The 15,760-nt window shown below is 42.0% G+C and overlaps 1 annotated feature.

Moving 5' to 3' along the window:
• Positions 14,762 to 15,369: an enhancer, noted in NCBI's record as "OCT4-NANOG-H3K27ac-H3K4me1 hESC enhancer chr15:69167471-69168078 (GRCh37/hg19 assembly coordinates)". NCBI's record gives its function as "activates a minimal SCP1, AML or CMV promoter by ChIP-STARR-seq in naive H9 embryonic stem cells {active_cell/tissue: H9 hESC(naive)}" and the evidence as "EXISTENCE:reporter gene assay evidence [ECO:0000049][PMID:30033119]".

The raw sequence follows: 15,760 nt of genomic DNA, 5'->3' as shown, positions 1-15,760 counted from the left end.
GTAAGACTCAATCTCTAAAAAATATATATAAATATAAACAAATACATAAATAAATGCCTGACCAGTACACCTTAAAACTGGCAAGGACACCAAAAACCAGGAAAGTCCAAGCACCTGTTACGGTCCAAAGAAGCCCAAGGAGACATATGAAGACTCATGTAATATGGTATCCTGAATGGGATCCTGGAACAGAAAAAGGACGCTAGGGTAAAACTAAGGAAATATGAATAAATTTTCCAAAGTAGTTAATAATAAAGTATCAATAGTGGTTCATTAATTGTAACAAACGTACCATACTAACCTAAGATGTTCATAATAGGAGAAACCGGGAATAGGGTCTATAGCAGCTTTCTGTACTATCTTTGCAACTTTTCTGTAAATCTAAAACTGTTATAATATAAACAGTTAATTTGTAAAAAGAAAGGAAAAGAGGGCCGGCCGGGTGTGGTGGCTCGCACCTGTAATCCCAGCACTTTGGGAAGCCAAGGCGAGTGGATCACCTGAGGCAGGAGTTCGAGACCAGCCTGACCAACATGAAGAAACCCCGTCTCTACTAAAAATTCAAAATTAGCTGGGCGTGGTGGTGCATGCCTGTAATCCCAGCTACTCAGGAGGTTGAGGCAGGAGAATCGCTTGAACCGGGAGGCGGAGGTTGCGGTAAGCTGAGATCTCACGATTGCACTCCAGCCTGGACAACAAGAGCGAAACTCCGTCTCAAAAAAAAGAAAAAAAAAAGACATGCAACAACATAATCTCCAATTTTATTATTAGACTCAACATAGGTATTTTTAATACATATAGTCAGAACAAGCAACAAATGGGAAAATAAAGTTATAAAAATTATACTCTGTTTATTTAAAATGTGACATAGATATATGCAATCATGTAATAATATAAAGAATCATTTTCAGCTGGGCGTGGTGGCTCACACTTGTAATCCCAGCACTTTGGGAGGCTGAGGCAGGTGGATCACCTGAGGTCAGGAGTTTGAGATCAGCTTGACAAATATGGTGAAACCCTGTCTCTACTGAAAATACAGAAATTAGCCAGGTGTGGTGGCGTGCACCTGTAGTCCCAGCTACTTGAGAGGCTGAGACAGGAGAATTGCTTGAACCCGGGAGGCCAAGGTTGCGGTGAGCCAAGATCACACAACTGCACTCCAGCCTGGGCGACAGAGACTCTGTTCCCCTCCCCGACCCAAAAAAAAGAATCATTTTTACACTCATAACTTTGTCATTTCATCACTGTAGCTATACAAAATTTATGAAATAGGAAGTCTTCACATTAAACATCTATAAAAACGCTTTTGATGAACACTGTGTGTGTCAATAAATTATTTAAAGTTTTTAATGTGAGAAGTGAGGTCATTCTTGTGTATAACCTTATCCAAGCCAGGTGGAATTAGCGATGCCACTGTTCACAGAGGGCAATATAGCATATCTAAACTGTTTCTATGTTTTGTTTTTAGTAGCACTCATTTTAAGAACCCAGTGTCCTTGAGGTATATTGATGGAGATGGAAGAACAAATTTTTAAAGAAATTTCAGCAAACTCAGGATAGTCATTTTTAAATTTGTATACAAAACAAATCGTTTTTTTCCTCCTCTACTTAGGCTATAGAAAGCTGGAAATGTGTCTAAACTGTGGGAAAGCTAGATAAACTACAAAATCGTAACTTTCCTTGAGCCTGTCAGAGGGCTGAAGTTGCAAGTCAACCAAGTAGCCTGAGTTCCGGAGAGGGACAGGGTGCCACCTAGGAGGGAGGGACACACAAGGTCTCCCCGGAGGCTGAGCACCGGAGGAGGAAGCGGCTGTCATACAAGAGGGCGAGAAGAATCAGCAAAAATTTTAATAAAGACCGAGTGTGGAATAGACACAAGGAGAGATGGCAATCCCCCAAAAGCTCTTTTTCCCAGGTTCCCACCGAGTGTTCAGAAGAGAGACGGGGCGGGGTGAGGGCGGGGCAAGATGGAGATGAAGGCAGGGCTTGCAGTGGGAAAGCCCCTGGGGGCGCAGGTTGCAGGAGGTGACAGCCGCTTCTGCTTCTCCAGTCCTGGCCTAGAAAGAAAGTGCCTTTGGTTATTGGGTAGAGGCAGCAAAGCCTGTTGTCCTCAAGGCACAGGCACAGACCTACTGTCACTGGGGGAGGAAAAAACCCTTGGGAGAGGGGCAGGAAATGGTCTTGGGTTCAGGACCCGACACCAACACCAACATAGGTTAGCTCCACGAGGGAAGAGTGGGGAACTCTCTCCCACCCAAGACCAACAAATGCAGCGTTTGGCTGCCATGAGAGGGAGGGGCAGGAATGTTGAGACAGCACGACCCCCCTCCCAAACCCAGGCCCACGGGACCAACCTAAAACCGAGGCTGGAAGGGCAACCCAGAGCCCACCCCACCTCCTTCTCCCTCACTTTCAATTCTGTACTTATCTCCTCATGGATGGGCAGCGATCTACAAACCACACTTTGAATAGCACTACATCATACCATCCTATGTTTTGCATATTTACATTTTTCCATGATAAAGCAAAACAAACAATGTACATGTTGGCTGCAGTAACTTTTCCATGTCTAGCAAGCTGCATGTTTCCCACTGCCAGGAGTGAGGCGGTTCTGGCTAATGTGGTATTCTGGTTGGGTGAGAAATGTCCCTTACACCGCACATATTAACCGTAGTCGAAATAGAAGCACCTGATGTGCTAAAGAATTAGAAAAGTCAGAGATAAAAATAAACAACAAAAAAGAGAAAAGTCTTTAAGAGTATCTCTCATAGAGGAGGAAACTAGGCCCAGGAGGTGAAGCACCCTGCCCAAGGTCACCCCACTGGTTATTGGGGTATGGGGCCCCAGACCCTCAACTCTCCTTACTCTAGCCTACCCTGACAATATTCACTAGGGGTGAAAATCTTCCAGAATGTAATTTAGGGCATGGACCTACACCTTTAGCACCATACAATACCGATATAAAATAGTTTATTGGAAAATTTGTATAGGTAGAGAAGTATCAGAGGCACCTGGTCACCTGAGCTCTCATTATCCCACCCAGAGATAGGTCTGGGCATGCTGTGGCTAGCATCCGAGTGGCGAGGGACCCCACCCTCATAACACTCTATACTTAGAGGTCAAAGCAACAGGTAACACTATGTTCCTTTGTAACTGCAGAAGTTGCTAGGCTGAGGAAGAGGCCTTGTTAGAAAGGGGGGCTCCCTGAAGAAGCAACCTCTGGAGCCTGTTCTTCCATCAGCAAACTCAGCCCTAAGGAGCCATGGAAGCTGAGCCATGGAAAAAGAAGGAAATGAGTCTCCAGGGCCACCTCTTCTCCCCTTTTCTTTCCTCTTTACCCTAAGCAGGCTGCTGTGGCTCGTCTGAGTCTTTTGGGCTATTTGTGTCATGGACAAAAGAAAGTTACTAAATAAACAATGCTATCTGCCTAATATTTCCATTACCCATTTTCTGGTTTGATTTGATTTGATTTTTAAATTTTATTTTATTTGTTTTTAGAGACAGGGTCTGGCTTTGTGGCCTAGGCTGGAGTGCAGTGGCATGATCACAGCTCACTGCAGCCTCGACCTCCCAGGCTCAAGCAATCCTCCCACCTCAGTCTCCCAAGTATCGAGGACCACGGGCGAACACCACCATGCCCAGCTTATTTTTTTTTTTTTAGAGATAGGGTCTCATTATGTTGCCCAGGTTAGCCTTGAACTCTTGGGCTCAAGCGATCCTTCCACCTCAGCCTCCTAAAGTGCTGGGATTACAGGTGTACACCACTGCACCTGGCTCATTTTCTGATTTTAAGGCAGCTTTTTGTAAAGTATTGATCTAATCTCAAATCTGAGGGGGGATGTGATAATAAGAAAACCTAACAGTTGTATGTATTTGCTTTCACATTCACTGTTAGAATATATTTGTTTATATCTTTTGTTTATGCCAAACAATTTGCCCAAGATCACACAGTTAGAAATTGACTGAGTTGAACCTTAAACTCTGTTCTTCCGACTCAGATGTCAGTACTTTCCACAACCGTAAAATTATCTTTCACTATCTGTTCTTCCTCATTTTTCAAGTGTAATTCAAGATCTGAAAAATTTGCGTCTAGAAGTTTAGCTGCAACTTTGGAGAAAAGAACATATTGTTTAAGAGGCAAAATCTCTCCCATATGCAAAAATTTATTTTGTGCAAAAGTAGCCATGTTTTTCCCAAATGTTGTCTTCCCCGACCCCCGCGAGGCACAAATTAAATTAATGCCTGTGAGACTTTCCAAATAGCTCCTCTATAAACTGTGAAGCCCCTCTGGAAAGTTATTCAGTGAGTACCTAGAAGAGCCTGTTGGGAGCTACACCAAAAGCAGGAATATTCAGAGGTTAGTGCTCCATCCCTGGAGGCTCATGGATGAGGTATGACCCACACAGGGAATAATCTGGAGAGTTAACTGCAGTGGATAGGGAGAGATCCACAGCAAGTACTTGAACATTCTGTACTGATATTGCACATCTGTATGGCCCATTCTTTATTGGTCCGACATATATATAGGCCTTAGGCATTGTCACAGAGTGGTCCTTTATGCGGCTAGTGATGATAACAGCTGCAGTTGTTTCATGTGTCCAGTGCATGCATAGTTTGTTCCAAACCCTTCCTCCCAGCCTGGCTCCACTTTTTAGTGATAAATGATACCAGTATCATGAAACACATGTCACTACTCTCTGCTTTCAAGGACAAATTTTGTGTTTGGTTTTTCTCCCCCATAGGGAAGAAACATAAAACATAATGTCAATACAGATCCTTTATCTTTATTACTAAAGCACAGTAAACTAAGGTGCATATTTAATTTAACACATTCTGATGTAGCTCACTGTGGGCCCTCAATGAATAGTTTGTGAACATTTTCTACTATTGCCTTTGAAAAGGTTGTACAACTTAGCTTGAACAATTTGGCTTATTTGTTTACTAATTTGTAGAAGAAGGAATTTACAGTGTTAGATTGTGAAAAGTAGAATGTTTTAATAATGTATTAATAATTTCATTGCTAGCATGGCTCTGCTGTCTTCAGATTATTTTCCTACTCAGTTCTAGCACCTCTGGCCTCCTAGTTACTTGCCCAATTTTGACATGCAGGAATGACTGTGTAAGGCTCGTAGAAACTTGGCATGTATTCTTTCTTTGGCATCATTTAATATATTTAAACCCAGCAGTGTATCTAGAGGCAGCCAATGTTTCACCACCGGGTTTTATATATATTAAATGACACATTCCAGCAGAAGACCAGAATCTAGCCTGGCTGGATTCCTGCTGGATTTCGCAATTTTCTCTGGAATGTCTGGGCAACCCATTTTGGCACTGTCCTCGGGGGTCGGGTCGGGGGAGGTCCTCTTCTTCCCTTTCTCCCATGACAAAACTCACCTCCTCTTTATGTCTTTGTGGTCTATTAGTCTAATCAACTTGTTGACTGTTATTATTTTCTCTGTTTTGTGAGTTGATTTTTTTTCTTAATTTTGTACTTCCCCTTTAGGAATATATTTTAAATTTAGAATCAGTCAGGATTTTACTTACAGTAATTGAAGAAATTGGCTTTCCAATTTTTAGATGAGTGCATGCAAACTGAAATCAAAATTTATTGCTATTAGTGAAAATCAAATGATATCAGTTTACAAAATATAAACAGGGAAAATATTCACTAATGTAAACTGCAAATGATGATCCATTATTTGTCACTCAGTAACATAGGGAGGAAAAAGCTAGCTTCCATTTTTACCTAAAAAAAAATAACAAAATTTAGCAGAATACATCTAGACCAAAGTAATTCAAGTTTTGAGAGAATTGGTCTTCCTAGATCAGCAATAAAGAAGGAATTGATGACATAATAACTTCACTTGCCAATAGCCATAAGAAAGTAGGAATTATTCAATATGGTGTTCAAGCCAAGAATTTTTTATTTGGGGAAAATATAAGTTAAATTATCTTTTCCTATCTTATACCAGAAACGCCTAGGTAGATCAAATAGTTAATATGTAAATGTCAGTCCATAAATAGAGAAAATAAAGTTGCATATCTATCAGGTTCTATTCACCAAACAGAATCTCCCTCCCTCAATGGGGAATAATTAATTTCCTAAGTTAAAGAGCAATTTTAGAAATTCTGCTGGGTGCACTGGCTCATGCCTTTAGTACAAACACTTTGGGAGGCCTAGGCAAGAGAACAGCTTGAGCCCAGGAGTTCGAGACCAGCCTGGGCAACATGGCAAAATTCAGTCTCTACAAAAAAAAAAAAAAAAAAAAGATATTTAATTAGTCAGGTGTGGTAGCATGCACCTGTAGTCTCAGCTACTCAGGAGGCTGAGGTGAGAGGATCACTTGAGCCCAGGATGTTGAGGCCATAGGGAGCTGAGATTGCACCACTGCTCTCCAGCCTGGGTGACAGAGTGAGCCCTTGTCTCAAAAAAAAAAAAAAAAAAAAAAAAAAAACCTCAAAGGAAAAGGAAAGTAGCAGTAGATTTAATTACATTGGAAAAAATTGCAACAATTATGATAAATGTGTAAAAATCTTTACTAAGTGAAAATCTCATATATATAACAAAAAAGCCCTAAAGGTCCAAACAAATCAATGGGGAAAAAATATCAATAGATAATTATTTTTAAAAAGTGCTGGGTGAGGTGGCTCAAGCCTGTAATCCCAGCACTTTGGGAGGTCAAGGTGGGCAGATCACCTGAGGTCAGGAGTAGTGTGGTGGTGGGCACCTGTAATCCCAGCTACTAGGGAGGCTGAGGTAGGAGAATCACTTGAACCTGGGAGGTGGAAGTTGCAGTGAGCTGAGATCCACCACTGCACTCCAACCTGGCTGACAGAGTGAGAGACTCCATCTCAAAAAAAAAAAAAAGAAAAAGAAAAAAACAAAAATAACTAATAGGCAAAAAAATACATTTAACCTCAATTGTTTGCAAATTCATGCAATACAAATATCATTTTGCCAAATTCAAATAGTGCACATTACTTAAAATTGATTTTAATAAGCAATTCTGCAGTAAGATGAATTTCTGCTCACTATGGTGAGTACATACATTTTTAACTTTCTGGAACCAGTTCAGTCATGTATACCAGTAATCTGAAAAGTGGTGATATCTTTTGACATACGGGTACCATGAGGCTGACTGTATTTCTGTGATGCTGTTCACCATGATGTTTGATTCTCCTGGTTGATTAGATTTACTGTTTTTCTCTTTTAGGGAAGGATACTGCAAGTGCAGTGCCATGTGCTTCATTCGGCCTCACATCAGGTGGCACAACGTACCTGACAGTGGCAGCCTTAGCAGTGCTGAGCTGAGTAACACAGAGTAAACCACTCAGCCTTTAAATCTATGATATAAGCCTTTATATCATTTTTAATATGTGAAATAATCAAAGTCAGATTTTACAATTACCTTAGAAAGAAACTGCAAACATAAGTTCTATTTGTAAAATATTGGAGGGAGGGTATTTTCTAATATATGTTGTAAAAAAATGTTTAAATGGTGAGCATGTAGTTGGTTATATAAGCTTTTTGAATACTTCAACTTACAAAGTGATTGATTCAAACTTGGTACAATTAGAACGGCATCCAGAGAAGCCTTCTTTAATTTTCTATACCACATAGAAAAATGCATCGTCAAAATGGGTGAAGCTGGGCTGCCTCTGAAAACAGAACTATAATGCATTTGTTTTTTTGTTTTTTTTGTTTGTTTGTTTGTTTTTGTTTTTGAGGCTGAGTCTCCCTCTGTAGCCCAGGCTGGAGTGCAGTGGCACGATCTCGGCTCACTGCAACCTCAGCCTCCTGGGTCCTGGTTCAAGCAATTCTCCTGCCTCGGCCTCCCGAGTAGCTGGGATCACAGGCATGTGCCACCATGCTCAGCTAATTTTTTTTTTTGTATTTTTGGTAGAGACGGGGTTTCACCATGTTGGCCAGGCTGGTCTTGAACTCCTGACCTCGTGATCCACCCGCCTCGGCCTCCCAACGTGCTGGGATTATAGGCGTGAGCCACAGCACCCCACCAATGCATCTGATTTTGATTGGATTATCAGTTCAGAAATTTCCCAATACCAAATTCTACCACTCTGTCTAAGGAAGGACTCTCTCCATATTTTAGCTCCTAGATCACCCTCCCTAATCTTTATACTACGTAAAATAAGCTGTCTGCCTCTGCTCAAAAGGGCTGAATGGGATACATGGATACATGAATTGATAGGGTTTTAATGGATTCTTTTGGAAAGGGGACGGTCCCACACCATGCTATGGCCTTCGATGTTATTTTTTAACAACTTCTAAATAACAACATGTTGTTTTTTAAATGTGCCTGAAGATGTATATTTACCATCCAAGAGAGTACAAATTTGAGACTCCAACTTCAGCGCTACTCCACTACATGGCTTCTGTACACCTTAGTGAATTGTGGCACTTGTGAGGGTCAACAAAACTCACCCTGTGGCTGGCTGGCACATGATGGATGGACGTCGAAGAGGGTCAAATCGTTTTATGGTACACGATGGCTAAAACATGGATAGGAATGTCAGGTTGTCTGATACTAAACTATTTTGAAATTCTGAGGTTGCAACCTCAGTCTTTAGAGTCTACACCCAAAGCTTTCTATGGCCCTGTTCTTCCCCCAAAGACACCAGATGTTGGAGAAGTAGGGTCCCATGAGCCTTTTCATTAACGTTTCATGAGGGAGACTTATCCTTCTGTATGGATGTCATCAAAACACCCTGAGAATATACTTACAGTTGAACCATTTTTTCTCACTTGAATAAAATTAACCTGAGTACAGTAGTCCCCCCTTATCCACAGGGGGTGTGTTCCAAGACCCCCAGTACATGCCTGAAACCATGGATAGTACCAAACCCCATATATTCTATGTTTTTGCTATTCACACATACCTATGATAAAGTTTAACTTATAACTTAGGCACAGTAAGAGATTAACAACAGTAACTAATAGTAAAATGAAACAATTATAACAATATTCTGTAATAAAAGGCATATAAATGTGATCTCTCTCCCAAAATATCTTTTTTTAATTTTTATTTATTTATTTATTTATTTTGAGACGGAGCCTCACTCTGTCACCCAGGCTGGAGTACAGTGGTATGATCTTGGCTCACTGCAACTTGTGCCTCCTGGGTTCAAGCAATTCTCCCTGCCTCAGCCTCCCAAGTAGCTTGGATTACAGGCAACTGCCACCATGCCCGGCTTATTTTTGTATTTTTAGGAGAGACAGGGTTTCTCCATGTCGACCAGGCTGGTCTTGAGTCCTGACCTCAGGTGCTCCACCCGCCTCGGCCTCCCAAAGTGCTGGGATTACAGGCATGAGCCACCATGCGCAGTCCTTTTTTAAATTTTTTAATTTATTTTTAATTTTTTGGGTACACAGTAGGAGTATATATTTACGGGGTGCGTGAGATATTTTAATACATGCAATGTATAATAATCGCATCAGGTTAAATGCAATTATTTACCTTCATCTCAAACATTTATCTTTTGTGTTGCAAACCAATTACACTCTTTTAGTTATTTTAAAATGTACAATTATTTTTTACTATAGTCACTCTGTTATACTAGCAAATACTAGATCTTATTCGTTCCAATTATTTTTTGTACCCCTAAAATATCTTATTTTACTATACCGTGAGTAACTAAAACCTCGGAAAGTGAAAGCATGGAATACTGCGTATTTCCCACCCTCAGCGTGTGTGTGTCTTAACAAAGTCAGCCAGGGCACCTGCCCCCCTCCTTCTCATCAGGCCTTCTTAGCAAAATAGCATCCTTGTGGAGGGCCAGGGCTGTGTCCTGTGGGTTAGTGATATGATCAAGATTCCTAAGTACAAAACTGAAGCGCAGGACCTTAGAGCTGGTATAAGTCTGAGGCAAGATGTTGAAAGTATTCTGCAGCCCCTGCCATGTGAAAGCAAACTGTTTCTGGTGTTACTGCTTATTGGGATGGAGAAAAAAGCATTCGCCAAACTGATAATGACATAACACGGGCTATGAAGGAGACAATGTCTGTAAAAGCAGATGCAATTAAAGTCATTGTCATTTCATTCTCTGAGTTATTCTATATACTGCATCAGCCATATTGTCACTTAAATTGCAGATGTGATAGAAATCATCACTTCTGGCCGGGCGCGGTGGCTCACGCCTGTAATCCCAGCACTTTGGGAGGCCAAGGCGGGCGGATCACCTGAGGTCAGGAGTTGGAGACCAGCCTAGCCGACATGGTGAAACACTGTCTCTACTAAAAATACAAAAATTAGCTGGGTATGGTGGTGGGCGCCTGTAATCCCAGCTACTTGGGAGGCTGAGGCAGGAGGATCGCTTGAACCTGGGAGGCAGAGGTTGCAGTGAGGTGAGATTGCACCATTGCACTCCATCCTTGGCAACAAAGCGAGACTCCATCTCAAAAAAGAGAGAAATCATCACTTCTGCATCTTTCAAGTTTTGGATAGTAGTGCTAACCACTGTGTTTCCCCCAACAATGCAATATTACTCTTTAATTTAGTTTTTAAAAAAGCAGGGGAAGGGGGAATGTCTTGGTTCTTCCAATAATAACAGCTCTCACTCCGTAGAGGGGATTGAGTGTGAAAATTCTGCCAGTTTCTAAGTATATCAATTTTAACTGTACACTCAGGAACTTGGGAAATAATCACCAGATAAATTCAAAATATCTTACCCCAGGTGTTCCTTAATTCCATGGCTTAAGTAAAATAGAGTTTACCAGCTCTCTCGTTCTCTGCTCCTGTCTCTATATATCTATGAGAGTAATTCTATGAGATAATTCCTAAAAGTAGGATTGCTGGGTCAAAAGGAAAATGTAGATCTTCATCCCATAAACAACGTATTACTTGCCAATCAGCTATCTTGTTTTAATCTTTATGTCTTTAACTTTTAGCAATACAAAGCACTTTTAGACCTCCCTTCCCCACCCCAAATATCTTCAAATGTCCTTAGAGTCCTTGTCACAATGAGCCTACTATGAGATAGAGTCAAATCAAAACACCATTTATTCCCCTGCCTGCTGAGAGCCCCCACCTTCACAAATGGGCCAGAGTAGCTTTCAAGCTCTTGGTATTTTCCTTTTATTAGCATATAGTTACTTGATCAATGACAACCAGTCATTAGTGGGAGGCTTGCAGTACAACTCTCAGCTGTTTGTCGTGCTGGGTTCTTCTCTGAGGCTCCCCAGCTTCCCTTTCATTCTGGTTTGGGAACTGACCAAGATCATGGAATCAGCAGTGGAACTGTTACCCTAGACTGGTGCCTCAAGACAGGGCTCCATTTACTAAACCCAGGCTGGATGTTATTATTGTTGCTGATGCACAAATCAAGTATAAATTTTATCAACTGCCCATATTATCAACTGGAAATAGTTCAGTGACTGAGATGCACCATGCCATGGAATACAAGTTTAAAATACTGAGGTATATCTAAATGAACTGACATGTAAAGTTCCCCAAATACCTTGGAGTGAAAAAAAAGCTATAGAAAATGTTCCGAATTTACCATTTATATAAAACACACAGCAACCCAAAAACTATATGTTTATGTATTTACATATTTGTATTTATGTATAAATACATCGATAACATTCTGGGAGAATCCACACCAAAGTGGCGATAACAGTTACATCTCAGGAGACATGCGGGATTACGGGGGAGTTGGGGTGGTGAGGGAGGCTTTTTTTTCCCCCCTTTATGCTTGAGTTTTTTGCCAAAGTGTTTTCGGGTATGGTTCATGTCACATTAAGAAACAATAATACTTTTTAAACTCAGAAATTGAAAACCAAATATCATATGTTTTCACTTATATGTGGGAGCTAAGCTGTGAGGATGCAATGGTATAAGAATGATATATGGACTTTGGGGATGCAGGAGGAAGGTTGGGAGGGGGGTGAGGGACAAAAGACTACATATTGGGTACAGTGTACACTGCTCGGGTGATGGGTGCACTAAAACCTCAGAATTCACCATGAAAGAACCTATCCACATAACCAAAAAACACCTATACTCCAAAAACTATTGAAATAAAAAATTGTCAAAAGAAACAATAATATTTTTTAATCCAGAAGTTTGTGGAAAGGTGATGGTAAGAATGTACCTCCCATTTCTCCCTTTGCCCTCAGCAGGCTTCTGTCCACTGCGCTGCAAATATTTGAAGCAATGGCCTCATCTCTAGATCTTGCTGACAACATTGACACCTAATTACACAATATAATGTAATATCATGGCTTTTGTTCTGCTTGTGGTGTGTTTTGTCTCCTTTCCAAGGTAGAAAGTTCTCTTCCTTCTGTATCCCACACAGCATTTATCAATGTGCTCAGTAAAGCCTTATTAAATAAATAAAGCCTCATGCAACTCTCCTTAAAGCAGAAGGGCCTTCTCCCCTCCAATACTCCTATGCCAAATCTAGTGAAATCCAATTGTTTCTTCAAAATTTTGTTCAAATGTTATTTCCTCTGGGAATCTTCCTCAGACTCGTTTCTTCAATTACAATTTGAAAAATGTTTTACCTCTCTTCTCATAACACTTTAAACACACATTCTTATACCTATAATATAATATTTATTTTATTATAATTACTGCATTTCAATTTGTCGCTTGTCAGCCTTCGCCTCTAGCCTACATTCCTGGAGGACAGGGAGCCAGGCATGTCACCCATCCCTCATGATAATGCAGTTCTTCACACCCACCTAAGCCTTGCAACAGCAGGTACTCAATAGGTATGTCAAATTCAGTTGAAATTAAAAGGATAAGAGAGGTTGTTATATGGAAATTTTTCTACACATGAATCTTCTTTTATGTAATCCCACATGGAGCGATCAATGGTAATTCAGCCACTGAGACAACGTCCCACACAATACTTACTCTTCCTCTTTAAAACAAACCTCTCCTCCCAAAGGGGTTATGATCCTGTTCTTTAAGCTCAGCCATACTCCCTTTCTCTGCTAGACTCTCCACTTATCTATGCCCATCATTCTCCAGGGGGACTTCCTAACAGTGAATTTGCTGGATCAGAGAGAAGAATCTCCATTCTCATCAAGCACTATGTATTATACGCCTTTGCCAATTGGCCTGACGAGACATGGCTCCTTTTTGTTTAAAGTTGCATTTCTTTGATGTTCAGCGCTCCATCTTGTCTTCCTCCTCGACCTTCACGCACACATCTTTTGCTGCCCTCAGGAGCAACACTTTCCTCCTTTTAATGTTTTCACATTACCCTGATGGAATTAACAGGCAATCATCGTCAGTCATCCAGGGATCCGATTGTCCACTTGGGCAGGAGGCCAGAGCCATATAAAAGAAGGCCTACCTCCAACTTCGTGGGCCACTTGCCTGACAAGAGCAAGGAGACTTGAGGCAACTAGCTGTGTCAGTGCATCAGCCTGGCCTAGTTAACTCCAGCTCACTCTTCAGACCTCACTTCAAAAGGCAAGTCCTCAAGCGTTTGCTGACTTCCAGATGCACTCAGATTGTCCTATTCTGAGCTCTAATGATTATTTTTTCATTGTATGTTTATTTCACTAATATTTGTAATTTACATGAGGACAGGGCACTGGTCTTTCTGTTGCTCATCATCTCCTATCACAGTGCTTAACACCTAGTAGGAGCTCAATAAATATTTGCAAAATGAATCAAACCCATCAATTTGTAACTCTAAATGAAATCCCCAGGGCCGGGCATGGTGGCTCACAGCTGTAACCCCAGCACTTTGGGAAGCCAGGGTGGGTGGATCACCTGAGGTCAGGAGTCTGAGACCAGCCTGGCCAACATGGTGAAACCCCGTCTCTACTAAAAATACAAAATTAGCCAGGCATGGTAGCGCATCCCTGTAATCCCAGTTACTTGGAAGGCTGAGGCAGGAGAATCGCTTGAACCTGGGAGGCGGAGGTTGCAGTGAGCCGAGATGGTGCTATTGCACTCTAACCTGGGCAACAAGTGCCAAACTCCATTTCAAATAAATAAATAAATAAATGAAATCCCCCTAGCAGTGGTTATCCCTGTCTGCACATTAAATCACCTGTGAAATTTCTTTTAAAAAAATAATACTAATGTCTATCCCAGCAGTAGACTTTTTTTTTTTTTTTTAAGACGGGGTTTCACTATTATTGCCCAGGCTGGAATGCAACCGCAAGGTCTCGGCTCACTGCAACCTACGCCTCCCGGGTTCAAGCGATTCTCCTGCCTCAGCCTCTAGAGTAGCTGGGATAACACGCGTGCACCACTAAGCCCGGCTAATTTTTGTATTTTGGGTAGAGACGGGGTTTCACCATGTTGGCCAGGCTGGTTTCGAACCCCTGACCTCAGGTGATCCGCCCGCTTCTGCCTCCCAAAGTGCTGAGATTACAGGCGTGAGCTATCAGTAGAGCTTTTAAATCAGAATTTCCAGGTAATTCCTCACGTGCCACCACGGTTAAGAAACTGATGATCTGTGCCAACCTCCTTGACAAGGAAGGCCATTGGCCGCCAGGGGGCGCGCAAACAACACCAATAGTTCCAGAAAGCTACTTGCAGCTACACATGGACTTCTTTGATGAGTTCGTCCTTTCAGTGACAATTTTAGATCTGGATCCGTTTACACACACACACACACACACACACACACACGATCCTGCTTCGTAACATAAAAAAAGTGAAAATGAACATCAGAGGCATGGTGACTTTTGTAGGTTCTGCCCCGCAAGGGCGAGGCAGCATGAGTTTGGATTGGTTTGTTTGTCTTTTTGTTACAGAGTCTCGCTCTGTCCCCCAGGCTGGAGTGTAGTGGCGCGATCTCGGCTCACTGCAACATCCCCCTCCCGGGTTCAAGCGACTCTCCTGCCTCAGCCTCCCGAGTAGCCAATACTACAGGCGCACAACACCACGCCCGGCTAATTTTTGTATTAGCAGAGACGAGGTTTCACCGTGTTGGCCGGGCTGGTCTGGACTCCTGACCTCAAGCTCAGTCCGCCCGCCTCCGCCTCCCACAGTGCTGGGATTACTAGGCAGCATGAGTTTTTAATCCTTGACTGCAGAGCATTGAATGGGCTCCGCGGGCTACATTGTTTAGTTTTAACATGCGAAGGGCGAGACATTCTTGGCTAGGAGGGAATGCAGTGGATGGGCACTAGCCTTGGATCTCTTAAGGCAACCCCAAGTCAATGTCCAAAGTTTTAGGTGCTTTATCTTAAAATTTAACGTGAGCCACTACTCACTTTGTCACCATTAAGTGACAGCTCTACTCCCAAAGCTTTGTGCCCCAAACACCAGCGATCACTTTGCTGGCAGAAGTTTGGTGCCAGAATACCCGACTCTGTGCCTGAATAGTCAACTCTTCTAACTTCAGGGCCTTCTGTGCACCAGGCCCGGTGCTAGGAATTTGAGTACATCCACACATTAACTCGCTAGCTTTTAACTACCACCCTGCAAAATAGCTAGTAATGCCCCATTTTACAGATGAGGAAACCTGAGCTCAGAGAAGTTAAGTAATTTGCCCCAGGGCACACATATCTTCCGACTCTAAGGCGGTGGTTATAGCCAAGTCAGACAAACCTGGGATCCCAACTGCACCACTGACAAACCGTATAAACTTGGACAAGCCGTGTCATCTTCCTGAGGCTCCATTTCTTCATCTGTAGGAGGCAGTGTTATGAAAATCAAATAACATACATGCACGCAGCTGTTCAGATCCCTGAACACAGAAGGCACTTCATAAATAGGTATGTCTACCTGTGTTTCTGTCTATCCTTTCTTCTTTCCTTATTCTTTCC

This window comes from Homo sapiens, chromosome 15 (genome assembly GCF_000001405.40).
Source record: "Homo sapiens chromosome 15, GRCh38.p14 Primary Assembly".
In the NCBI taxonomy this organism is placed as follows: domain Eukaryota; kingdom Metazoa; phylum Chordata; class Mammalia; order Primates; family Hominidae; genus Homo; species Homo sapiens.
This window is presented reverse-complemented; position numbering and strand designations above follow the sequence as displayed.